This window comes from Homo sapiens, chromosome 19 (assembly GCF_000001405.40).
Source record: "Homo sapiens chromosome 19, GRCh38.p14 Primary Assembly".
In the NCBI taxonomy this organism is placed as follows: Eukaryota; Metazoa; Chordata; class Mammalia; order Primates; family Hominidae; genus Homo; species Homo sapiens.
Window position 1 is genome coordinate 56,174,296 of NC_000019.10, and position 24,175 is coordinate 56,198,470.

Sequence of the window (24,175 nt, forward strand, 5' to 3'; positions counted from 1 at the left end):
TATAAAAGCTTCCCCCTCCTCCTCCTCCCCTGCCCACTCCTCCTCCTCCTCCTCCTCCTCCTCCTCGTTGTTGTCATCCTCTGGATGAGAAGTGAGGGACTTGGAGAAACAGCGGAGGGGGCTCAGGAGCCCACCAGGGTGTCTGTAATCCCCCACGTCGTCTTCTCACTCCATCCCTCTCCTGGGGTCTCCCTTTCCCCTTGGGATGAGAAAGGATGGGGTAAGGGCTGATGGGGATGTGTAAAGACAGGACAGAGATACAAGTGCCAGCCACAAACCGACAGAATGCTGGAAGGACCTTGGAGGCAATGTGTCCTCCACGGTGGAGAGGAGGAGACAGAACCCAGCCAGGACCAGGGCGTCCCCTCTGTCCCTTAGACAGCAAAGGGCAACAGCAAGAGTAAAACCTCTTCCAAGGTTCTTTCCTCTGGAAAGCAGGTGACGTCAGGGCAAAGAGAGAGCGTGCTGCAGAGACAGATAGATCAACACACATGACAGGAGAGAGACGCAGCAACGACACACTCCTTATTCGTTCACCCAACAAGTATTGAGTGAGCTCCGGGCACTGTTTTAGGGGCTGCTGTGAGGTTTCTCATCTTTGGAGCTATTGACTTTCGGGGCTGGGTCCTTCCCATCGGGGAGGCCTTTCCTGAGCACTGTGGGAGGCTGAGCCGCGTCCCTGGCTTCCACCCACGAGATGCCGGGAGTCCCTCCCAAGTCCCAAGTAAAGATGTCTCCAGCCGGGCGCGGTGGCTCACGCCTGTAATCCCAGCACTTTGAGAGGCTGAGGCGGGAAGATCACGAGGTCAGGAGTTCAAGACTAGCCTGGCCAACATAGTAAAACTCCGTCTGTCTCTACTAAAAATACAAAAAATTAGCCGGGCGTGGTGGCGGGCGCCTGTCGTCCCAGCTACTCGGGAGGCTGAGGCAGGAGAATGGCGTGAACCCGGGAGGCACAGCTTGTAGTGAGCCGAGATCACAGCACTGCACTCCAGCCTGGGCGACAGTGCGAGACTCCGTCTCAAAACAAAAACAAAAAAAACGAACAAACAAAACTGTCTCCAGACTTGGTCACATGTCCTGGGGTGAGGCTGGGGCAGCATCGGGGCAGAGTCACTCCTGGTTGAGAGCTTCCGGCCTAGGGACGCAGCCATGAACAAGACACAGTTGACACCCCTCATGGGGTCTCCTTTAGCCAGGGTGGTAGGTGGGGGGCGGGGAGATAGACAGCTCACAAGTAAACAAATAAACAGGGTCTACCGTGCAAGACAGAAGAAATGCAACTCAGTGAGGGAGCTGCGGAGGCTTGGAGGGATTGATGGGGGCAGAGGGGACAGGGCTACGGAGACACCAGTGGCAGGTGGAGACAACCAAGGAAGACACAGGTCAAGGCCCAGACGCAGATAAGAGGGAGGGAGGGAGCCCTCGAATAGCTGCAAAGTCTGGAACAGGACAGCTGGAAGATAAAGGGGCACAGAAGGAGGGGGAAGGGCAGGGTCTACCAGGGGAAACCAAGGCACAGCAGCATTTCCCGCGATGAAGTGTGTGTTTTGACCTCACAGACCAGCGTTTGAAAGCCCCTGGAGTGGATGACTGTTCCCCCACCTCCATCCTCTTCACTCCCTCTCCCTTCTTCTAATCCCCTCCCTTTCCCCCCTCCCTTCTATTGTCTCCTCAGAAGGCATAAAAGCTCAGGGGGCGTGAAAGAGTCCAGGCGCTGGAGCGAGGAGCCAGAGAGAGCTGCGGAGAGCTGCCAGCTGCAGCGGGGTGAGAGCCTAGGCCAGGAGGGCAGAGGGGCGGATCCCAGCTGCACCGGGGTGAGAGCCTAGGCCAGGAGGGCACAGGGTCGGCTGCCAGCTGCAGCGGGGTGAGAGCCTAGGCCAGGAGGGCAGAGGGGCGGATGCCAGCTGCAGCGGGGTGAGAGCCTAGGCCAGGAGGGCACAGGGGCGGATGCCAGCTGCAGCGGGGTGAGAGCCTAGGCCAGGAGGGCAGAGGGGCGGATCCCAGCTGCACCGGGGTGAGAGCCTAGGCCAGGAGGGCAGAGGGGCGGATCCCAGCTGCACCGGGGTGAGAGCCTAGGCCAGGAGGGCAGAGGGGCGGATCCCAGCTGCACCGGGGTGAGAGCCTAGGCCAGGAGGGCAGAGGGGCGGATGCCAGCTGCAGCGGGGTGAGAGCCTAGGCCAGGAGGGCAGAGGGGCGGATCCCAGCTGCACGGGGGTGAGAGCCTAGGCCAGGAGGGCAGAGGGGCGGATGCCAGCTGCAGCGGGGTGAGAGCCTAGGCCAGGAGGGCAGAGGGGTGGATGCCAGCTGCACCGGGGTGAGAGCCTAGGCCAGGAGGGCAGAGGGGTGGATCCAAGCTGCACTGGGGTGAGAGCCTAGGCCAGGAGGGCAGAGGGGTGGAGGGAGTGAGGGGCTCCTGGGAGAGTGATGGGGGGCTTGAAGGGATGGGGATAACAGGAGAAACCCCAGCATTGGTGGCAGGGAAAAGGTGAGGGGCAGGTAAGGGGACGGAAAGGTTTGAAGATGGAGTGGTGGAGGCAGTGGGGCAGAAGGCATGGGCGCTGGGGGACCAGGTCGGCCTGATCCGATGATGGGGGAAGGAGAGGCTTAATTGCTTGCACACGTCCAAACTCCTCAAGATGTGTACATTAAATGTGCGCCATTTTTGTATCTCGATGATGCCTCCATAAAGCTAAAAAATAAATTCCTCTGTCCTTATCGGAAATGCACCTGGCCCCCGCTTCGGAAAATGACTGGCCGCTCTCTCCTTGCAGCGTGTTCCGCAGCTGTAGGCACCTGTCGTCCTGCCTTCGATGGCTCCTCCCTCCGTCCCCCTGGTCCTCCTCCTCGTCCTCTTGCTGAGCCTGGCAGAGACTCCAGCATCCGCACCTGCCCACCGGGTAACGCCTCCCTAAGTTCCTCGGAAACAACAGTGTCCCCAAATCCCTGCCCTCTGGGAAGAGTTTTTAAAAATGCTTCTGGCTTGTGTCAAGGGTCCTGGGGAAGAAGCTCAAATCCTGAAAATATGAGAAGAAATATTGCGTGTCTCTACTAAAAACACAAAAATTAGCCGGGCATGGTGGCACGTGCCTGTAGTCCCAGCTACTCAGGAGGCTGAGGCAGGAGAATCGCTTGAACCTGGCAGGCGGAGGTTGCAGCGAGCCGAGATTGTGCCACTGCACTCCAGCCTGGGTGACAGAGCGAGACTCCATCTCAAAAAAAAAAAAAAAAAAGAAGAAATGGGGTTTCACCATGTTGGCTAGGCTGGTCTTGAACTCCTGACCTCCTGGCTTCAAGTGATCCACCCGCCTTGGCCTCCCAAAGTACTGGGATCACAGGTGTCAGCCACGGCACCCAGTCTGGGACGACACTTTGAAAACCTTTGATCACACACCTCCACAGCATGGGCTGTAGAGGCTGGGTTGAGTTTGAAATCCGGGATCTGCGACTTTCTAGCTGTGTGACTTCAGTCACATTGCCTAACCTCTCTGGTCTCTGAGTGGATCTTCTTTGTCCAATTCCAGCACTGTGAGAGTTAACAGTTAACTCGGATGGCAGGCAGCTCTCATTATTTAGCCAAGAGGATTAAATAATTAAGAGATGTTGGTCCAGGGATACACAGTTTCAGTTAGACAGGGGAAATAAACTAGATCTCTGGTACAGCATGGTGGCTGTTGTTCATAACAATGTGTTGTATACTTGAAAATTGCTAAGAGAGTAGATGGATGTTAGGTGTTCTCACCACAAAAAAGCTAAGCACATGACGTAATGTAGAGGGTAATTACCTTGATGGAGTCACTCCGCAGTGTAGCCGTATTTCCACACGTGTTGTGCACCACGCCTGCATTTAAAATGCAGTTTTTTTCTAACAAAAAAAAAAAAAAGAGGCCAGTCCCAGTGGCTCACTCCTGTAATCCCAGTACTTTGAGAGGCCAAGATTAGAGAATTGCTTGAGCTCAGGAGTTCGAGACCAGCCTGGGCAACATAGTGAGAACCTCCATCTCTTAAAAAAAAAAAATTAACTAGGTATGGTCTTGCGTGACTGTAGTCCGAGCTACTTGGGAGGCTGAGGCATGAGAATTGCTTGAACCCAGGAGGCTGAGTTTGCAATGAGCTGAGATGGTGCCAGTGCACTCCAGCCTGGGCGAAAGAGCAATAACCCATCTCAAACAAAAACAAAAACAAGAAAAGAAAAGAAAAAGAAAAGAAATGCTAACAACAACAACAAAAAAAAAAAAAAAAAAAAAGAGACGCCGGCTTGGCATTCAGCTGCCCTGAGTTGGGATAGCAGCTCTCCTCCAGGTTCTGGCTTGGTCTTTGGCAAGCTATTTGTTTCTTTGAGCCTCCTTTTTTTCTATATAACTAAGGGATAACGGAATCCATCCTATAGGGATGTTCGAGGAGTTTTGACAAGAGCTAATGGCTGTGGAGGGTTTTCTCAGCGCTTGGCGTTGTGTGAAACCCGTGATGTGAATTAGCTAATTCTACCCCACAATCCTTTGCAGTTGGTTCTATTTTGCTACTTCCCACCTTACACAGTGGAACACTCTGGCTTAAATATTCAGTGCACATCCTCCTTAAGAGTCTGGAATCTACCGGCCGGGCACGGTGGCTCACGCCTGCAATCCCAGCACTTTGGGAGGCCGAGGAGGGCGGATCACCTGAGGTCAGGAGTTTGAGACCAGCTTGGCCAACATGGCGAAACCCCCTGTCTCTATTAAAAATACAAAAATTAGCTGGGCCTTGTGGCAGGTGCCTGTAAGCCCAGCTGCTCAGGAGGCTGAGGCAGGAGAATCGCTTGAATCCAGGAGGCGGAGGTTGCGGTGAGCCAAGATGGCACCACTGCGCTTCAGCCTGGGTGGCAGAGTGAGACGCGAGACTCCATCTCAAAATAAATAAATAAATAAATAAAGAGTCTGGGATCCACCTGGGTTTGAGTCCCAGCTGTTCTTCTTAGTGTGTTGCAATTTGTTGCAATTTGCAGAATCTTTCTGGGCCTCAAGAGCCTCTTTCTTTCTTTTTTTTTTTTTGAGACGGAATTTCGCTCTGTGGCCCAGGCTAGAGTGCAGTGGCGCAATGTCAGCTCACTGCAAGCTCTGCCTCCCAGGTTCACGCCATTCTCGTGCCTCAGCCTCCCGAGTAGCTGGGACTACAGGCACCCGCCACCACGCCCGGCTATTATATATATATATATTTTGTATTTTTAGTAGAGATGGGGTTTCACGTGTTAGCCAGGATGGTCTCGATCTCCTGACCTCGTGATCCGCCAGCCTTGGCCAAGAGCCTCTTTCTAATGAAGCTAATAGCAAGTTTACCTACTAGGGTTGTTGGAGGAAGAGCCTCTCTTTTTTTTTTTTTTTTTCTTTGAGACAGAGTCTCGCTCTGTCACCCAGGCTGGAGTGCAGGGATGAGATCATAGCTCACTGTAGCCTCAAACTCCTGGGCTAAAGTGATCCTCCCACCTACAGGTGTGCGCCACCATGCCTGGCTAATTTTTGTATTTTTTGTTTTGTTTTGTTTTATTGAGACGGAGTCTCACTCTGTTGCCCAGGCTGGAGCGCAGTGGTGCAATCCCCGCTCACTGCAATCTCCACCTCCCAGGTTCAAGCGGTTCTCCTGCCTCAGCCTCCCAAGTAGCTGGGATTATGCCCAGCTAATTTTTTTTATTTTTAGTAGAGACGAGGTTGGCCAGGCTGGTCTTGAACTCCTGACCTCAGGTGATCCGCCCACCTCAGCCTCCCAAAGTGCTGAGATTACAGGCGAGAGCCACCACGCCCGGCCTAATTTTTGTATTTTTTGTAGAGGCGAGATTTCGCCATGTTGGCCAGGCTGGCCTTGAACTCCTGTTCTCAAGCCATCCTTCTGCTTCGGCCTCCCCAAATGCTGGGATTACAGCATGAGCACCACCCCCAGGCTTAACATATCTTTAAAGTGTGCAACACCGTATTGCTGGCTGTGGGCACGATGTTGTGCCATAGAGCTCTAGGACTTCTTCATCCTGCATAACTGAAATTATACCTGTTGAAGAACAATTCCCCATTTCTCCTTCCCCCCAGCCCCCAATAACCACCTTTCTCCTCTCACAACAGAACGCTTTAAGCTTTCTTTCCAGGCCAGTTGGCTTTGTCTCAGGAAGTCCTCAATTTCCTCATCGGTGCAATGGGGATTGAAATGAACCTGCTCCACAGGCCAGTGGGAAAGTCGTATGACGACCCACATCACCCCGGACCTGTGGGACGCCTGCCCCGCTTTCTGTCTGCTTGAGTCTTGATTTCTGCATCTCTATCCAGGGACGAGGAGGCTGGACCCTCAATAGTGCTGGCTACCTTCTGGGTCCCGGTGAGTGAGGCTGCGCTCAGCTCTCCATCCCTGGCCCGAGTCTGCCTGGTTGCTGCAGGCAGTGAGTTTGTGGCTTGTAAAGACCCTCACCCACATTCACTGAGGCCCATGGATTTATTTGCAGATCTGTCTGGAGGGTTAGTCTAAGCAGAGCGATGGGTGTGTGGACTCTGGAGCCAGAGCCTTGGGCCCAAATCCCAGCTCTGCCCCTTGCTTGGTTTGCAACCTTGATCTCTCTCTCTCTCGCTCTCTCACTCTTTCTTTCTTTCTTTCTTTCTTTCTTTTTTTTTTTTTTTTTTTTTTGACAGAGTCTCGCTCTGTTGCCCAGGCTGGAGTGCAATGGTGAATGGTGCGATCTCAGCTCACTGCAACCTCCGCCGCCCGAGTAGTTTAAGCGATTCTCCTCCCTCAGCCTCCTGAGTAGCTGGGATTATAGGTGCCCAACAGCACGCCCGGCTAATTTTTGCATTTTTAGTAGAGATGGGGTTTCACCATGTTGGCCAGTCTGGTCTCGAACTCCTGACCTCAGGTGATCCACTTACTTTTGGCCTCCCAAAATGCTGGGATTACAGGCATGAGCCACCACACCTGGCTGCAACCTTGATCTCCCTATGCCTCAGTTTCCTCATCTGTGACAGTGGGTGTAATGATGGCCCTTACATCCGAGAATGTTGTGAGGATTGAGTTATTAATAGAACAATAGCTGGTGTGTAGTGGGTGCTGTATAATGATTAGCTGCTATTCTTTGTCTCTCTCTCTCCTTTTTTTTTTTTTTTTTTTTTTTTTTGAGATGGAGTTTCGCCTTGTTATCTAGGCTGGAGTGCAGTGGCGCCAATCTTGGCTCACAGCAACCTCTGCTTCCCGGATTCAAGCAATTCTCCTGCCTCATCCTCCCAAGTAGCTGGGATTACACGCATGCACCACAATGCCCCACCGGCTAATTTTGTATTTTTAGTGGAGACGGGGTTTCTCCATGTTGGTCAGACTGGTCTTGAACTCCCAACCTCAGGTGATCCGCCCGCCTCAGCCTCCCAAACTGCTGGGATTATAGGCGTGAGCCACTGCTCCTGGCAACTTTTTTCTCTTTTCCTCCATTTGTCTCTCCCCATTTCTCCAGTTGCATCTTCCCTGGGCAATAGGTGTGCCCATGGCCACGTGCTGCATAGTGAGCATTACATCCATAAAATACCGAGATTCCCGTGGTGCTCAAGGTTGGTTTCAGTTTGAGCTTCATTCAGGGAAACCCAGGCTGCAGAGACAGTGTGGCAGGAGCAGAAAGAACGTGAGATGTGGACCCAGACCTAGGTGGGTTCAAGCCCCAGTCCTGCCATTAGCAGCAGGGTAATTTCGAGCAAGTGACCGCTTGCAGCTGCACGATTTCCCCACCGGTAGGTAGGGACGGTCAACACGCACCCCGTCCGACAGACTTGGTGGAGGCGCTGCGTCCGGTGAGCCATGCTGTTGAATTGATGGACGATGTGTTTCTTCAGTTCTACTTAACCGACCACCTGCTCTTGCTCTCTCCCTCCCTACCCAGTCCTCCACCTTCCCCAAATGGGTGACCAAGACGGAAAGAGGGAGACAGCCCTTGAGATCCTAGACCTGTGGAAGGCCATCGGTGAGTGAGCGGGGAGTTAGACGTCTTCTCCTGCGTCCTCCCCTGCGGGCTCTCTCCTGGCTTTGGAAACTGGTAGATGTGAGCTCCAGCCCTCACCCTGCCGCTTACTATTTGGGGGGCCCTGGGCAAGTGATGCGTTTCCTTCAAGCTTCTGGGCCGTCACCTGGAGCCCCAGCTTGCTTTAATGTTCTTTTGTTACCAACGTGAAATTCCGAATCCTGTTTGAACCATGGGCCCCGTGTTTTCTCTGCATCAGACCTCACAGAATCCCTCCACTTTGAAATGACATAAATGGAATAATCCCATGATTTAGTTGTATGACTCAGTGAGAAAATGCACGTTAATTTCCTAGAAGTGTCTGGCATATGGTAGAAATGGAATGGTTTGGCTGGGCATGGTGGCTCACGCCTGTCATCCATACTCAAGCCTCCGAGTAGCTGGGATTACAGGCACCTGACACCACACCCAGCAAATTTTGCATTTTTAGTAGAGATGGGGTTTCACCATGTTGGCCAGGCTGGTCTTGAATTCCTGACCTCAGGAGATCTGCCCCCATCAGTCTCCCAAAGTGCTGGGATGAGCCGTCGCGCCCGGCCTTATTTATTTTTTAAACTTTTATTTTAGGTTTGGGGGTACATGTGCAGGTTTGTTATATAGGAAAACTTGTGTCACGGGCGTTTGTTGTACAGACTACTTCATCACCCAGGTACTAAGCCGAGTACCCAGTGGTTATTCTCTCTGCTCCTCTCCCTCCTCCCCCTGCTCCACCCTCGGGAAGGACCCAGTGTCTCTTGCTCCCGTCTTTGTGTCTGTGTGTTCTCATCGTTTAGCTCCCACTTGTAACTACGAACGTGTGTGTGAATGTTGTATTTTTGTTTCTAGACGGGCTCCCCTACTCCCACCCTCCACAGCCCTCCAAGAGGAATGTGATGGAGACGTTTGCCAAACCAGAGATTGGAGGTAAAGCCAGGAAACACAGAAGAGAGACACCGACAGGAGAGGGGGAACAAGGAAGTGGCAGGCAGAGCTTAGAGGGTAAAGGAAGAAAGGAAGGAAACTGGAACCAACCAGGGACCTCCTCACCTGTAACCACAGCCACTACCCCGACCACTCAGCCTCGACTGTGAATCCCCATCCTGGCCTCGACTGCTCCCTTCACCTCGATTCCTTCACTGCGAATCCCACCTCATGTTCCAACTCTCATTTCCCAGCCTGAATCTAGCACTTTTGCAATTAGGACCCCACACCCAACCTTGATCTCCCCCAGTATCACTCCCTCAAGCTTAGCCTCAGCTACAACATTGACGTCAAACCTCTCACTTTGACCTCATGGTTCAATTTCATTTATTTATTTATTTTTTGGGGATGAAGTTTTGCTCTTGTCGCCCAGGTTGGAGTGCAATGGTGCGATCTTGGCTGACTGCAACCTCCACCTTCCGTGTTCAAGCGATTCTTCTGCCTCAGCCTCCCGAGTAGCTGGGATTACAGGCACGCGCCACCATGTCCGGCTAATTTTTGTATTTTTAGTAGAGACGGGGTTTCACCATGTTGGCCAGGCTGGTCCTGAACTCCTGACTTCAGGTAATCCACCTGCCTCGGCCTCCCAAAGTGTTGGGATTACAGGCGTGAGCCACTGCGCCTGGCCTCATGGTTCAATTTTAACATCAACCTCTCTCCTAAATAAGATCTTTATTTCCAGCATTCATTCTATTTTTTTTTTTCTTAAGGAGTCCCTCTCTATTGCCCAGGCTGGCGTGAAGTGGTGTGATCTTGGCTCACTGCAACCTCTGCCTCCTGCATTCAAGCGATTCTCCTGCCTCAGCCTTCTGAGTAGCTGGGATTACAGGCGCCCGCCACCACATCCGGCTAATTTTGGTATTTTTAGTAGAGACGGGGTTTTGCCATGTTAGCCAGGCTGGTATCCAACTCCTGATCTCAGGTGATCTGCCCGCCTTGGCCTCCCAAAGTGCTAGGATTACAGGCATGAGCCACCACGCCAGGGACCGTTGTATTGTTCACTGCCTAGCACAATGCATGACGCATAGTAGGTACTTGGTAAATATTTGTTAAATGAATGAATTAAACTATCCAAACACAGCCTTCAGCTGCCACCTTCCCACCCAATCATGAGCTCAGCAGATGCCCAAACCCCAGCTTGTCCCACCTTCCTTTAGTTGGATGTTCGCCCCAACCCCATCTCCTTCTTCAATCCTTTTTTTTCTTTTCTTTTTCTTTTTTTTTTTTTTTTTGAGACGGAGTCTCGCTCTGTCTCCCAGGCTGGAGTGCAGTGGCGCGATCTCGGCTCACTGCAAGCTCTGCCTCCTGGGTTCTCGCCATTCTCCTGCCTCAGCCTCCTGAGTAGCTGGGACTACAGGTGCCCACCACCACGCCTGGCTAATTTTTTGTATTTTTAGTAGAGACGGGGTTTCACCATGTTAGCCAGGATGGTCTCGATCTCCTGACCTCGTGATCTGCCTGCCTCGGCCTCCCCAAGTGCTGGGATTACAGGCATGAGCCACTGCGCCCAGCTCCTTCTTCAATCCTAACTCAATTCCTGGAGACGCCATGTCCTTATTTCAACAGCACTAATTCATTTCAAAAGCATGTACTGGACAATACTGGGTATGATACGCTCCCTGAATTCACTAATTTCCATCCTCACCTCGATTACATTCTGACTCTTGAAAACACCCACCATCACCATGTGCCTTCTTAAAATGTGGGCGGAAAGGGAGAATATGTGGGCAGATGAAAGTAGAGAGAAGGGGCCAGGCACGGTGGCTCACGCCTGTAATCCCAGCACTTTGGGAGGCTGAGGTGGGCAGATCACCTGAGGTCAGGAGTTCAAGACCAGCCTGGCCAACATGGTGAAACCCAATCTCTACTAAACATACAAAAATTAGCTGGGTGGGGAGTGATAGTGAGAAAAACCATTCAAAGTTTACCTCTTTCTTTCCCACAGATCTGGGCATGCTCAGCATGAAAATTCCCAAGGAGGAAGATGTCCTGAAGTCATAGATGTCTTCAAATCCCTGTTCCTATCCTTCTTCTCCAGCTCCTCCTGCTCCCTCTGAAACCTTTTCTAGGTACCCTATGCTGAGACTAAGATCCTGAAGTTAAATACCCAGGTCTCATGAAGACATTGTAAAGCATTTGAATTATTCTAAAAAATTTCTGGAGTTTCTTAGGTTTTATTGATTCATCCTTGAAATCAGTATAATGTGCTATTAATGGAACCAATAGTAATTCGAGGACTAGTTGGGAGATTCTGGGGTAATCAGGGAATATTCCTGCAACACATTTAAAGGAATTGTGTTCTTTTGGAATCATCCCAATTATAACACGAGCTATTGCATAATACAAATAACCCTCTTAAGTCTGAGAGTCTGTGTCTTTATTTGAAAAGATTCTTCAAATTGCGTACTTACTCCTCCATATTCTTTCAACCCACATGAGTCTCCTCGAGAAGTGAGGAGAGGCAGTTTGGAGCAGAATGGAGAGAATAAAATGTTTCTTGTCAAACACTCCATTTTTTCCCTTTTAATTAGTCTGGGAATTTTTTTAGGGGTAGCAGAATCCAGGATGATGGGGTCAGGTGTGGGACTGGGAAATCCAGGATGACAGAATCAGGTGAGGGACTGGGGAAAATATAACCTATTGGAGGCAATCCATTTTGGATTATTGTTTTGCTGAAAGTTTTACTTTCATTTTGGGTTTGAGGAGTCACAGGAAAAAGAAACCACAGTGTTACACTGAGGCAGGGGAATCGCTTGAACCCGGGAGGCAGAGGTTGCAGCGAGCCGAGATTGTGCCATTGCACTCCAGCCTGGGCAACAAAGTGAGACTCAAAGTAATTAATGACCAAAATGAGTGACTGAGACACTGTCAGTCTCCATCCATCGAGGTTTATGAAATCGGCTGTGGGGCACGTCCAGGGAAAGGTGAGCCACAGACACCTCTGTGGCTGTTTTTCTGAAGTTTTCAGGATATTTACTATTTATACATTTCCTTAGACGGGGGCAGGCATAGAGGCAGAGGGGTGGGTAGGTGGTGAGCTGAATGGTTAAATTCCTATCAGTCTTTAGTTAGTGCCCAGTAAATCTACATTTAAAAAAAATATATGTTTCTATTTTTTATTTATTTATTTATTTTAATTTTTTTTTTTTTTTTGAGACGGAGTCTCGCTCTGTCGCCCAGGCTGGAATGCAGTGGCGTGATATCGGCTCACTGCAAGCTCCGCCTCTCGGGTTCACACCATTCTCCTGTCTCAGCCTCCCGAGTAGCTGGGACTACAGGCACCCGACAACATGCCTGGCTAATTTTTTGTATTTTTAGTAGAGACGGGGTCTCACCGTGTTAGCCAGGGTGGCCTCGATCTCCTGACCTCGTGATCTGCCTGCCTCGGCCTCCCAAAGTGCTGGGATTACAGGCATGAGCCACTGTGCCCGGCCTATGTTTTTATTTTTATTTTTTTGGAGACAGAGTCTTACCCTGTCACCCAGGCTGGAGTACAGTGGCGCAATCTCAGCTCACTGCAACCTCTGCCTCCCGGGTTCAAGCAATTCTCTTGCCTCAGCCTCCTGAGTAGCTGGGATTACAGGCGCCTTCCACCATGGCCGGTGAATTTTTGTATTTTTAGTAGAGACAGGGTTTCACCACTTTGGCCAGGCTGGTCTTGAACTTCCGACCTCAAGTGATCCGCCCGCCTTGGGCTCCCAAAGTGCAACGTTTTACATAAGATAAAGTGCATGTTTGAAGGCAAAAAAGGGCGTAAAGGGAGTAAAGGAAGCACCAATTACTTAGACATCTTTGGGTAGGTGGAGGAATGACTGAGCTCATCTTATCTTTGTTCCACGCCTCAGAAGATAAGCTAGTAATGGACATTGTCAGTGTGGAATAAAACAGACCTGAGTTTTAGGAGCTAGACTTACATTGTAGACCTGAAGTTACAAAGGGTGAGTTCTTGTTTATGGGAAGTCAGCAAAGAATTTCCTTATGAATGATTTGCGGGGGCATTCGTGGATGCCCGGGGCCTCTTCCCTTTCCGTGGGGATCTGGCTGATGCCAAATGCCAGCAACTGCTGTCCAATTGGAAGAGGGCGCTGCCTGACTCAGCCACCAGGCTGACCTCTCCTTTTGCATAAGGAGTTTGGGGAATCCTGAGGTTTTTCTTCGCATAATGAATAAGTATTAATATTGTTAATACTTATTCATTAATATTGTAATTAATTATAATTATTACAATAAATTACAATAAATAATTAATAAGTAATTAATATTAATTAATTACTATTCATGGCATGGTGGCTCACGCCTGTAATCCCAGCAGTTTGGGAGGTCGAGGCGGGAGGATCACTTGAGGTCAGGAGTTCGAGACCAGCCTGGCCAACATGGTGAAACCCCATCTCTACTAAAAATACAAAATTTGCTGGGTGTGGTGTCAGGTGCCTGTAATCCCAGCTACTCGGAGGCTTGAGACGTGAAAATTGCTTGAACCCAGGAGGCAGAGGCTACAGTGAGCTGAGATTGTGCCACTGCACCCCATCCAGCCTGGGTGATAGAACGAGACTCAGACTAAAAAAATAATAATAATAAAAATAATAATTATACAGAGTCAAATGTCGGGGATTCAAGGAGGCAGAAAGCAGATGAGTTCTCGCCCTGCTGGAGACTCACGTCCCTGGGAGAAGCAATCACTTAAAGTGATTAAGTTAATACGAGAGGCTGCAGTGAGATTTTTTTTTAGACAGGGTCTCACTCTATTGCCTGGGCTGGAGTGCAGTTGGGAGATCTTGGCTCACTGCAGCCTTGACCTCCTGGGTTCAAGTGATTCTCCCACCTGAGCCTGCTGAGTAGCTGGGACTACAGACATGCACCGCCATACCCAGCTAATTTTTGTGTTTTCAGTAAAGATGGGGTTTTGCCATGTTGCCCAGGCTGGTTTCTAACTCCTGGGCTCAAGTGATCCGCCTGCCTGGGCCTCCCAAAGTCCCGGGATTATAGGTGTGAGCCACCACACCCAGCTTTGCAGTGAGGTTTTGAAGCAGTGTTATGTGATGGGATTCTTTTTTCTTATCAAAAAATAATTTACTGGGCAAGTACGGTGATTCACGCTTGTAATCCCAGCACTTTGGGAGGCCAAGGTGGGCAGATCACTTGAAGTCGGGAGTTCAAGACCAGCCTGGCCAACATGGTGAAACCCCATCTCTATCAAAAAAATTTCTACTACATCTCTACTACAAAAATTGCCAGGCGCGGTGGCTCACACCTGTAATCCCAGCACTTTGGGAGGCCGAGGCATGTGGATCACCTGAGGTCAGGAGTTCGAGACCAGCCTGGCCAACATGGTGAAATCCTATCTCTACTGAAAATACAAAACTCAGCCTGCTACAGTGGCAGGCGCCTGTAATCCCAGCTACTCGAGAGGCTGAGGCAGGAGAATCGCTTGGACCCGGGAGGCAGAGGTTGCTATGAGCCGAGATCTGACACTGCACTCCGGCCTGGGTGACAAAGCTAGACTCTGTCTCAAAAATAAATAAATAAATAAATAAATAAATAAATAAATAAATAAATTATTGCCTTCTAATATTTTTTTAGCAGCCCAAGTCCAATGATTGCATTAAAAAAATTTGTTGCATCTATGCCATGAATACAATATTTAGGCAGTCATGTCAGCTTTTCTTTTATTTTTCTCTTTAGGATAGGGCCTTACTGTCACCCAGTCTGGAGTACAGTGATGCAATCATGGCTCACTGCAGCCTCAACCTCCTGGGCTCAAGCAATCCTCCCACTTCAGCCTCCCCAGTAGCTTGGATTACAGGTGTGCCATCATACCCGGCTAATTTTTATTTTTATTTTTGTAGAGATGGGGGTCTCACTGTTACCCAGGCTGGTCTCGAACTCCTGGCCTTAAGTGATCTTCCTGCCTCAGCCTCCCAATGTGTTGGGATTACAAGCATTAGCCACTAGGCCCAGCCTTACTTCTAATTTTTATTCTTATTTTTAATACATCTCCTTTTGTTTAAGGATATATACCAAGTGCCTAGAATATCAGCTGATAAGTGTTCCATAAATGTCTGTGGAATATTTGTTAGACTTATTATTATTTTTTGTTATTTTTTAAAGTTATTTATTTTATAGAGACAAGGTCTCACTCGCTTGAGCCCAGGTTGGTCTTGAACTTTTTCTTTACTTATTTTTGGGGTGGAGTCTCACTGTGTTGCCCAGGCTGGACTTAAACTCCTGGACTCAAGCAAACCTCCTGCCTCAGCCTCCCCAGTAGCCGGGATTACACATGCGTGCCACTGTGCTTAGTTTTTTTCTTATGAGATATTGGAAAATGATGAGACTTTGCTCATTGGAAGAGAAACAGCAACAGACACTAAAATAAATCTGTAAGAAAGCAACAGACATAATCAAACAGAAAACAAAACTCATGGGGGAGGATAAATATTTATTCAAACATCCGGGCAATTCCTACCAAGTGCTTTATGTGTATATGTCATCTGGTAACATTGGAGAAAAACCATCATTCACTGTCTCTTGGGGTGGAGGATGTGGACCTGACTCTGGAATCACTGGGAGGTGGTTTCCCGGTGTGTTTTCAGGTGACGCTTGAATGTCCCCAGCTGACGGAAGGCCTTTTGACAGGTGGGACATTTGTAGGGCTTCTCTCCGGAGTGGGTGCGCTGGTGAACGTTCAGGTTCCCCTTGTGGCTGAAAACTTTGCTGCAGTATTTACATTTAAACGGCCTCTCCCCGGTGTGGATCCTCTTGTGGCCCTGTAAGGTGGACTCGTGGGCGAACCGCTTTTGGCAGACGTCACACATGTAGGGCCTCTCGCCAGTGTGGACTCGCTGGTGAACTCGGAGGTCTGAGGGCTGCAAGAAGCGCTTCCGACAGAGATCACATTGAAAGGGTCTGTCTCCTGTGTGTGACCTCCTGTGGATGCTTAGCTGGGAAAAATACTTAAATGATTTATTGCACACGTCACATGCAAAGGGCGGCAGGGCCTTGGCTTCTTGGCCATCTGGGTGACTGACCGGGCCCGCAGGGCCTGGGGAATGAACTGGATTGATCTCAGCTTGTCCTGGGGATTCTCTGTTGCCCACAGGTGTGGCTTCTCCTTGAGGCTCTTCTTGGGAAATGGAGGAGGCATCTGGTTTGCTTCTTTTGGGACTGCTCAGATTCAGAGCATCTCCTCTGTTCCCGCTGTGAGTCAAAGCTTCTCTCTCCACAACGCAGGCAGAAGGTGTGTCAGCATCCACATTTTCCACAGAGGCTCTTTTCTGGGGTTCCTTCCCCTCCTTTGCTCTCACCAGATCTGGTGGAAGAAGGGATTCCACACACAACAGTTAACAAAGCCGATTTTCAATACACCAAACTCATTGCAACCAAACACTGACCTTGGCTGAGAACTTCCCCTCAACCTCAAGCCTAAGACATTGGACTGTAGGTCTCTGGAAAGTGGAGGAGAGATTTTGGCAGCTGATCGCCAGCCCCAGGGGATGATAATGCTGGGCCCCCAGCCCCGCACCCCAGAAGAGAGGGACTAACCCCTGTGGATCCAAGTCTTCATACTCACTGGGACTCTTTGGAAGCTGAGGCTCTGGGGATGACAGTCCTGGGTTCTCTTCCCTGTTTTCCTTCAGATCCTTCTCCAAGGTCTGCTTGGGTCTCGGAGAGTTTGGGTCACCTGTTACGTCAATACTCTTGTGTAGCAGAAAGTCCTCTCCCTGAAGAGGAAAAACCAAGAGCAATGACTGCCGTGTCTATACTGGTGGAAGTAGGGACATGTCTGTCCCCTCCTGACTGGACACACCAGACTTCCCATGGACCACCCCATCACCCCAAGTAAACATCACCACCTCATTTCTGCGTCTGTCCCTAATCTGCACCCTCCATATTCTAAATCAGCTCCTTTGCCTGGCGGTTTTCACTGTTTGGTTCTCTGAGAATATTTCTCCCCGCCGTGCCAATGTCTCCCTGCCCCTGACGCTGGAAGAAGCATGACTCTAGGTGGAGGCCCCTAACCCCTGGCACCATTGGCATTGGGGCTGCATCATCCTCCTGGAGGGGGCGCTCCTGTGCAGAGCAGAGACCCCGCCTCCACCCTCTAGATGCTATCAACACCCCACCACCCCTGAGAATGCCAAACAAAAATGTCCTCAGACATTGCCAAATGTGTCCTTAAAGGCAAAATCACCAGTTGAGAAACACTCCTCAAATTAAGAAATCAACAGTCTGAGAAAGTGGGTTCCTTGCTGAATGACTTCATGAAATGTCTTTGCGGAAACTGGATGGGGTAGGGACCTTCAGTTCATTCATCTGTGCCAACTGCCTCCCTCACTTCACTGAGACCATTTCTTACCCACCCCCCCACCCTAAATGCTAAAAGCTCTCATGGTGGAGAGAAAAGTAGATGAGGCTTCCCTCTCTGTGATGGCTCAGGAATGAATGTTTGGGGATGTATCATGTCCATGGGGAATGGCTCTAATCTTGTCCTGTGCCAAATCTCTCAATCAGTTCTGCAGCCACACGATTTCCTCCTGTTCCTTCTCCCACCTCTGCCCAGACACCAAGGCCTCACACACTCACCTGCCTCCTGGACAGTGCAGCGACCCTGGGCAGGATCTGCTGCTCTCGGCGGGCCTGGCCTGTCCCCGGATGCATCTGGTTCACAGAGGAGGCCCACTGGCTGGACACGTCTCTCGGATCATCTCTGACACTGGCGGGGGCTTCAGCCATCTCGACATCTGAGTTCAGCATAAGATATTCTTTGCCGAGCAAGTTGACTATAGACTGTAGAGAGAAAAAAGACAATCAGACACTATGAGAACCTGAAAGTAGCTCTCATATTTCCTGGGTCCTGCCATAATGCTCACACTTTACTGTAATTAATGTTCAAATCTACCTTCCTGATGCAGAATCAGCTCTGTGGACACAGCAATCTGTCTGAATTTTTTTCTTCACTAGATAAGTACATAAATATGAGTCATTTAGATGAAAGGGTCTCTAACCAAAGAGAAGACAAGGAGAAATATTCTGGGTGAATCCAACTCAATTGGCCAATGGCAGCTCACCTTGTGTTAGAACTTAGGGGCTCATTTGGGGACCTGGAGGCAGATCCCTGCATCTGATACCAACCACTTTCCCTGCCTCAGGATGGGACTTCTGGGCCCCCCTTCAGTTCACTCTAATGCCTCCTTCCCTACGTTCCATCAGGCCTAATATTTTACCAATGTCTTTCTTTCAGGTTGGCCTCACACAGTGTGTGGGTTCCTGTATCCCCTCTGCCTGTCCATCTCCTAGGTCAGGTATTTGCAATATTAGCTGTGCTGATATTTGAGACTGGAGAATTCTTTGGCCCCCATCCCAGCTCCCCTTCCCTGCACCAATCACGAGGTTCCCACTCACCCATTTCTTGGGTCTTCTGTTATTTCGTAGCAGGTCCTCCAGGTCTTTGCAGCTCTGCACACCGTTCACCTTGACTAAGACCTGGAGCTCCTGGGGCATGGAGATCATGAACTGCTCCATCACCAGCATGTCCAGGATCTGCTCTTTGGTGTGGAGGTCGGGCCTCAGCCACAGATGGCACAGCTCAGTGAGTTTCCTCAGAGCCTGGATGGGGTCCGACTCCTCTGGGCAGCTGAACATCCTGAAATTCATGTGCCAAGTCTCAGGGTTCCTGTCGTGATTTCCAAGTTGAGTTTCTGGGGACGCCACAGACCGTGGAGTGTCTGACCCAGGGCTGTTGCAGGGTCCTCCCTGACCCCATGAGAGTGTCCAATTTGCAGCCATATCTACTGGAGAATATTTCAATCAGCCTCTGAGCAAGCTCTTCCAGTAGCCAGTATCAAATTGAGACCTATTTACACAGGCTGCCCCTGTTTCTTCTCAGTAATATATTCACAGTTTGTTCAGAAGTCTGCAGGAAAAAAGCATGAGCCCGATTATTTTAACTTTCTACTCCACACACCCCTCCCTTCCAAATCCCTCATCCCAATCCTGGACCCCACTTGTCCATGGGCATCGGACTCAGCCCTGTGGAAATGAATCCACTCTGTTCTTCTCTGACTACATGTTCTGGGGTAAAATCTGAATGCTCCCCTGGATTCTGATCTCTAGGGGATCATTGTGCAGAGGTGGAACTGGTTTTCCTTTCAACTGGAACAACACTGCTCTTGACTGTAAATTAAATCGGATATGTATGTGAAGCTCCTAGAATCTGATGTAACAATAATGTCAGTTCTTTATGTTTTCCCGTCAAGACAAGATCCAAGGCAAAGCCCTTAGTCATAATTATGTAAAAAGCTAGAGAAAAATATTAATAGTTACAACCTACGATTGTCCCCAACACATTTTTCCTGTTAACCCCAGGATATTTATTTGCTGCAGGGAAGAGGTGTCACTAAAAAATCCTATGAGAGGCCGGGCGCGGTGGCCCAGGCCTGTAATCCCAGCACTTTGGGAGGCCGAGGCGGGTGGATCACGAGGTCAGGAGATCGAGACCATCCTGGCTAACATGGTGAAACCCCGTCTCTACTAAAAATACAAAAAATTAGCTGGGCATGGTGGCGGGCGTCTGTAGTCCCAGCTACTCGGGAGGCTGAGGCAGGAGAATGGCGTGAACCCGGGAGGCAGAGCTTGCAGTGAGATCATGCCACTGCACTCCAGCCTGGGTGACAGAGTAAGACTCCATCTCAAAAAAAAAAAAAAAAAAATCCTATGAGAATTAAGCTCCTGCACAGATATGTGGTTGTTTCGGTAAAACACACATTTATGAAATTCATCACTTTTACTAAGAACATGCGCTATGTTGTGCAACCATCACCACTTTCTAATTCCAGAATCACTGCATCACCCCAAAAGAGAACGCCATCCCCATCAGGAATTACCTCCTGCCCCAACCCCCTCCCCCAGCCCCTGGCCATCACTAATCTGCTTATTGTCTCTGGGAGTTTCTCTGTTCCTTATCTCATTCCATAAAATGGATTAAAGTCTTATGAAATTTCCAGGTAGTGGGATCATACCATAGAGCGGTTTTTTCTTTTTTCTTTTTGAGACAGGGTCTTGCTCTGTCATCCAGGCTGGAGGGAAATTTGCAGTCATGGTTCCCTCGGCCTCAACCTGGGCTCCAGTGATCCTCCCACCTCAGCTTCCCAAGTAGCTGGGACTACAAGTGCATCACCACGCCCGGCTAATTTTTATAGGTTATTTTTGTAATAGAGATGGGGTTTCGCCATGTTGCCCAGGCTGGTCTCAAACTCTGGGCTCAAGCGATGCGCTTGCTTTGGCCTCCCAAAATTCGGGGATTACAGGCGTGATTGCATTGCAGCTGGCCTACATTTTTAAAAAATTTTATTTTTTTATTTATGTTTTTTGAGGTGGAGTTTCGCACTGTTGCCCAGGCTGGAGTGCAGTGGTGCAATCTCAGCTCACTGCAACCTCTGCTGCCCAGGTTCATATGGCTCTCCTTCTTCAGCCTAAGTAGCTGGGATTACAGGCCCCCGCCCAGCTAATTTTTATATTTTTAGTACAGACAGGGTTTCACCATGTTGAACAGGCTGGTCTCAAACTCCTGACCTCGGGTGACATGCCTCGGCCTCCCAAAGTGCTAGGATTATAGGCGTGAGCCATCGCGCACAGCCCAATTTTTTTTTCTTTTTAAATTTGGTTCTAAACATAGCTTCAAAAGGCAAAAGCCACTGTATGATACTCTCCAGGCATCAATTATCACCCAAGTTCAACAGCTATGAGAACACAGCCCTGCTTTCCTAGACACAGGTGGGGGAAGCAACCTGAAGGTCTGCAGAGGGGAGAAAAAACTGGCAGGAGGGTCTCAGGAAAGGTCACTGGAAGCCTGGAGGGCGAGTACCCCACACTTCCTGGAAGGACTCTGAGCAAGTGCAGAACAGAGAGACAGCCAGGGAGACAATCGGCAGAGGCGGGAGACAACCCAGAGGAGGAGACAATATTTACACACCACACATCTCACAGGGCTCCTGTGCAAAACATAAGCAACTCAAACTCCTCCAGAGCGAGAAAACACATAACCCACTAGAAGGGCTTAAGGCGCCTGTGTGGACATCTCAGATGAAGACATGTGAATGGCCAGCAGGTCTAGGAAAAGGTGCTCGTCATCACTCATCATCAGGGACATGCAAATCCAAACCACAAGGCACCCCTCACGCCTGCTAGAGTGGCTGTTCCCAAAAAGACACATGGAACGAGTGTTGGTGAGGATTCGGGGGAAAGGGGTCCTCTGCGCCCTGTGCTGGGATGTAAATTAGAGCAGCCGATATGGGAGACAGTATAGAAGCTCCTCAGAAAATTGAAAGTCCAACAACTGCATGAGCCGGCAATCCCGCTCCGGGGCAGGTACACAGAGGAAAGGAAATCAGGACGTGGACTCCAAAACAGTGAAGCTCTGAAGTGACAGACGGTGGGAAGGTGGAAAAACTACCTACTGGGTACTATCCTCATATCCTGGGTGACAGGTTCAGTGATACCCAAAACCTCAGCATCACTCAGTACACTCACGTAACAAATCTGCACAGGCACCCACCGAACCTAAAATAAAAGTGGAATTTTTTTTTAAAGTTATCTATTTTTGTTTTTAAACTTGCAGCAGTGTCTTGCTCTGTCACCCAGGCTGGAATGCAGTGGTGCATCCTGGCTTGCTGCAGCCTTGACTTCTTGGGTCCAAGTGATCCTCCTGCCTCTGCTTCCCAAAATTCTGGGATTACGTGTGAGCCACTATACCTGGCCTACTTAAAATTATTTTTATTTTTATTTCGTTTTATTGATTTATTTTTTGAGACAGAATCTCACTCTATCCCCCAGGCTGCAGTGCAGTGGCCGATCTGGGCTCACTGCCACCTCTGCCTCCCGGGTTCAAGCGATTCTCCTGCCTCAGCCTCCCGAGTAGCTGGGATTATAGGCGTGAGCCACCCCTCTCGGCTAAATTTTGTATTTTTAGTAGAGATGGGGTCTCGCCATGTAGGCCAGGCTGGTCTCAAACTCCTGAACTCAAGTGATCCCTATGCCTCGGCCTCCCAGAGTGCTGGGATTACAGGTGTGAGCCACCGCACCTGGCCATTAAAACTTTTTTTTAAAAAAATAAAAGAAATAAAGTTAAATAGGTCTACTGCACAGCATGGTGACTATAGTTCACAGCAATGTACCGTATACTTGGAAATTGCTAAGGGAGTCGATTTCAAGTGTTGTCCAAAAATGATAAGACAGTGAGGTAGAGCCTATGGCAGTTTGCTCGATTTAGCCGTTGCACAATGCGTACACACCTTGACACACTATGCTGTGCACCGGACATATACACCATTATATATTTATATTTCTCAATTTGAAAGTAAATTAGGCCTGGTGCGATGGCTCACTCCTGTCACCCCAGTGCTCTGGGAGGCGGAGGTGGCAGGATCACTTCAGCCCAGCAGTGAACCGCGATTGTGCCACTGTGCTCCAGCCTGGGAGACACATCCAGCGGCCATCTCGTTTTGTTTATTTATTAAGTAAATCGATACATTTTTTAAAAGCATACAGATATGAGAAAAGGCAGCCTGAAATTCTGGGAATTAAAGAGGTTTTCCCGCCAGGTTCCCTAAGCGCCCCTGCTCAGAAAGCGGAGATCGAGGCTGAGGCGGGCAGATTGCTTGAGCCGAGGAGTTCGAGACCAGACTGGGCAAAGCAGCGAGACCACGTCTCTATAGTAAATAAAAAAATGCACTCGGGCGGTGTGGTGGTGTGCTCCTGCAGCCCCAGCTAGGTGGAGGCCGAGGAGGGCACATAGCTTGAGCCTGGGAGTTCCAGGCCAGCCTGGGAAATGAGCGAGACCCCGTCTCTGAAAAATAAAATGAAACAAAACCTAACCATGATGAGAAAGTTAACATTATTACTTTATTTTTCTCCTTTTTTTTTTTTTGAGACGGAGTTTTGCTTTGTTACCCAGGCTGGAGTGCAATGGCGCGACCTCGGCTCACTGCAACCTCTGCCTCCTGGGTTCAAATGACTCTCCTGACTCAGTCTCCCGAATAGCGGGTATTACCCTAACCTCTGCCTCCTGGGTTCAAACGACTCTCCTGACTCAGTCTCCTGAATAGCGGGTATTACGGGCGCCCGCCACCACGCCCGGCTAATTTTTGTATTTTTGTTAGAGTCGGGGTTTCACCATGTTGGTCAGACTGGTCTTGAACTCCTGATCCCGTGATCTGCCCACCTCGGCCTCCAGAGTAGCTGGGATTACAGGCGTGCGCCACTGGGCCCGACCGAGAAAGTTAATATTATTCCTAGTTTACAGAAGCACTTCATCGCCAGTCAGAGTTAATCATGGGGTGCAAAGGAGACCCGCTGCCTTCACAAAGTCTCCGAGAAAATAAATGCATGAGAAAATAAACCCAAACTTTCTGAAACCAACCCCCCGCATGCCAGCTCCGAAACCCCACAGCCATCGCCGCTGGACACTCACCTCCTTCCCGGCTTCTGCCTCCGACCTTCTCGGTCTGGGATGCGCTCTCCAACCGGCCTGGAGCTGAACTGCGTCTATTTATGGAGAAGCGGGACTCCAGGCCGCGTTTCCGGTTCCCTGCGCCGCGCCGTGATTGGTTTAGGGCCACAGAGTCCATTTTCGTAATCGGCGTTGATTACATTTCCCACTGAAACCCCACCCACAGGAAATTAATGTATTAAACGTGCCTACTGTGCAAATAATACAGGTTTTCCCGCTCTACTGAGTTGTCATATTGCTGAAGTATGTGGAGGCCTCAGAAAATATAGATCTGCAAGTTTTAACCACTTTGGGTCCCCTCATGCCACAGACAGTAATATCCTAACAAGTAAAGGACGTGTTAAGAGCTGGTTGACTTCGCTTATTAAAACAAAACGGAAAAAGAAAAAAAAAAGAAAAATTCAAAATAGAGTTGGTTGATTAATATCAAACCAGTGATTTAATCTCATTTTTAATCTCATTTGAGCGAAGCTTTCACACGCGAATTCCAAGATGTTGAAAATTGTGGACACTCGTTGATATGTAATGAATGTTTGTGATAATTTTTTACTTTTTTATTTTTTTCAAAATCTTGGAATTGGCATGTGAAAGCTTTGTTCAAACTAAACTAAATCACTGATTTGATATCAGCCTTATATAAAAGCAGTGGGAACCAGAGAAAGGCACATGGTCCCCACTCTGCATTCATTCCAGGACGG

General features: G+C 49.5%; 2 protein-coding genes across 4 annotated transcripts, besides 3 other annotated features; one reads left to right on the forward strand and one right to left on the reverse strand.

The window, feature by feature from the left end:
• Positions 848-1,398: an enhancer, noted in NCBI's record as "H3K4me1 hESC enhancer chr19:56686512-56687062 (GRCh37/hg19 assembly coordinates)". NCBI's record gives its function as "activates a minimal SCP1, AML or CMV promoter by ChIP-STARR-seq in naive H9 embryonic stem cells {active_cell/tissue: H9 hESC(naive)}" and the evidence as "EXISTENCE:reporter gene assay evidence [ECO:0000049][PMID:30033119]".
• Positions 1,399-1,949: an enhancer, noted in NCBI's record as "H3K27ac-H3K4me1 hESC enhancer chr19:56687063-56687613 (GRCh37/hg19 assembly coordinates)". NCBI's record gives its function as "activates a minimal SCP1, AML or CMV promoter by ChIP-STARR-seq in naive H9 embryonic stem cells {active_cell/tissue: H9 hESC(naive)}" and the evidence as "EXISTENCE:reporter gene assay evidence [ECO:0000049][PMID:30033119]".
• Positions 1,713-11,480, forward strand: GALP (galanin like peptide). 2 transcript variants are annotated; one of them, NM_033106.4, is made up of 6 exons: positions 1,713-1,767; positions 2,775-2,900; positions 6,291-6,339; positions 7,877-7,957; positions 8,840-8,917; positions 10,920-11,480. In NM_033106.4, exons 2-6 carry the CDS (start codon positions 2,814-2,816, stop codon positions 10,973-10,975), a joined length of 351 nt encoding a protein of 116 aa, NP_149097.1. In that variant the 5' UTR covers positions 1,713-1,767; positions 2,775-2,813; the 3' UTR covers positions 10,976-11,480. The 2 variants fall into 2 exon arrangements, with proteins under 2 accessions (NP_149097.1, NP_001139018.1); NM_001145546.2 differs by lacking the exon at positions 6,291-6,339.
• Positions 12,606-13,204: a transcriptional cis regulatory region, noted in NCBI's record as "candidate enhancer chr19.6329 targeted for multiplex CRISPR interference". NCBI's record gives its function as "positively regulates ZNF582 gene expression with high confidence in K562 cells {active_cell/tissue: K562}" and the evidence as "EXISTENCE:mutant phenotype evidence [ECO:0000015][PMID:30612741]".
• On the reverse strand, positions 15,391-23,595 carry ZSCAN5B (zinc finger and SCAN domain containing 5B). Of its 2 annotated transcripts, none has more exons than NM_001385638.1 (5): positions 23,439-23,595; positions 18,374-18,759; positions 17,555-17,758; positions 16,542-16,692; positions 15,391-16,280 (listed from the first exon to the last, which is right to left on the reverse strand). In NM_001385638.1, exons 2-5 carry the CDS (start codon positions 18,755-18,757, stop codon positions 15,532-15,534), a joined length of 1,488 nt encoding a protein of 495 aa, NP_001372567.1. In that variant the 5' UTR covers positions 18,758-18,759; positions 23,439-23,595; the 3' UTR covers positions 15,391-15,531. The 2 variants fall into 2 exon arrangements, with proteins under 2 accessions (NP_001372567.1, NP_001073925.2); NM_001080456.5 differs by having other exon boundaries at positions 18,374-18,884; positions 23,439-23,488.
• Between the last annotated feature and the right edge of the window lie 580 nt (positions 23,596-24,175).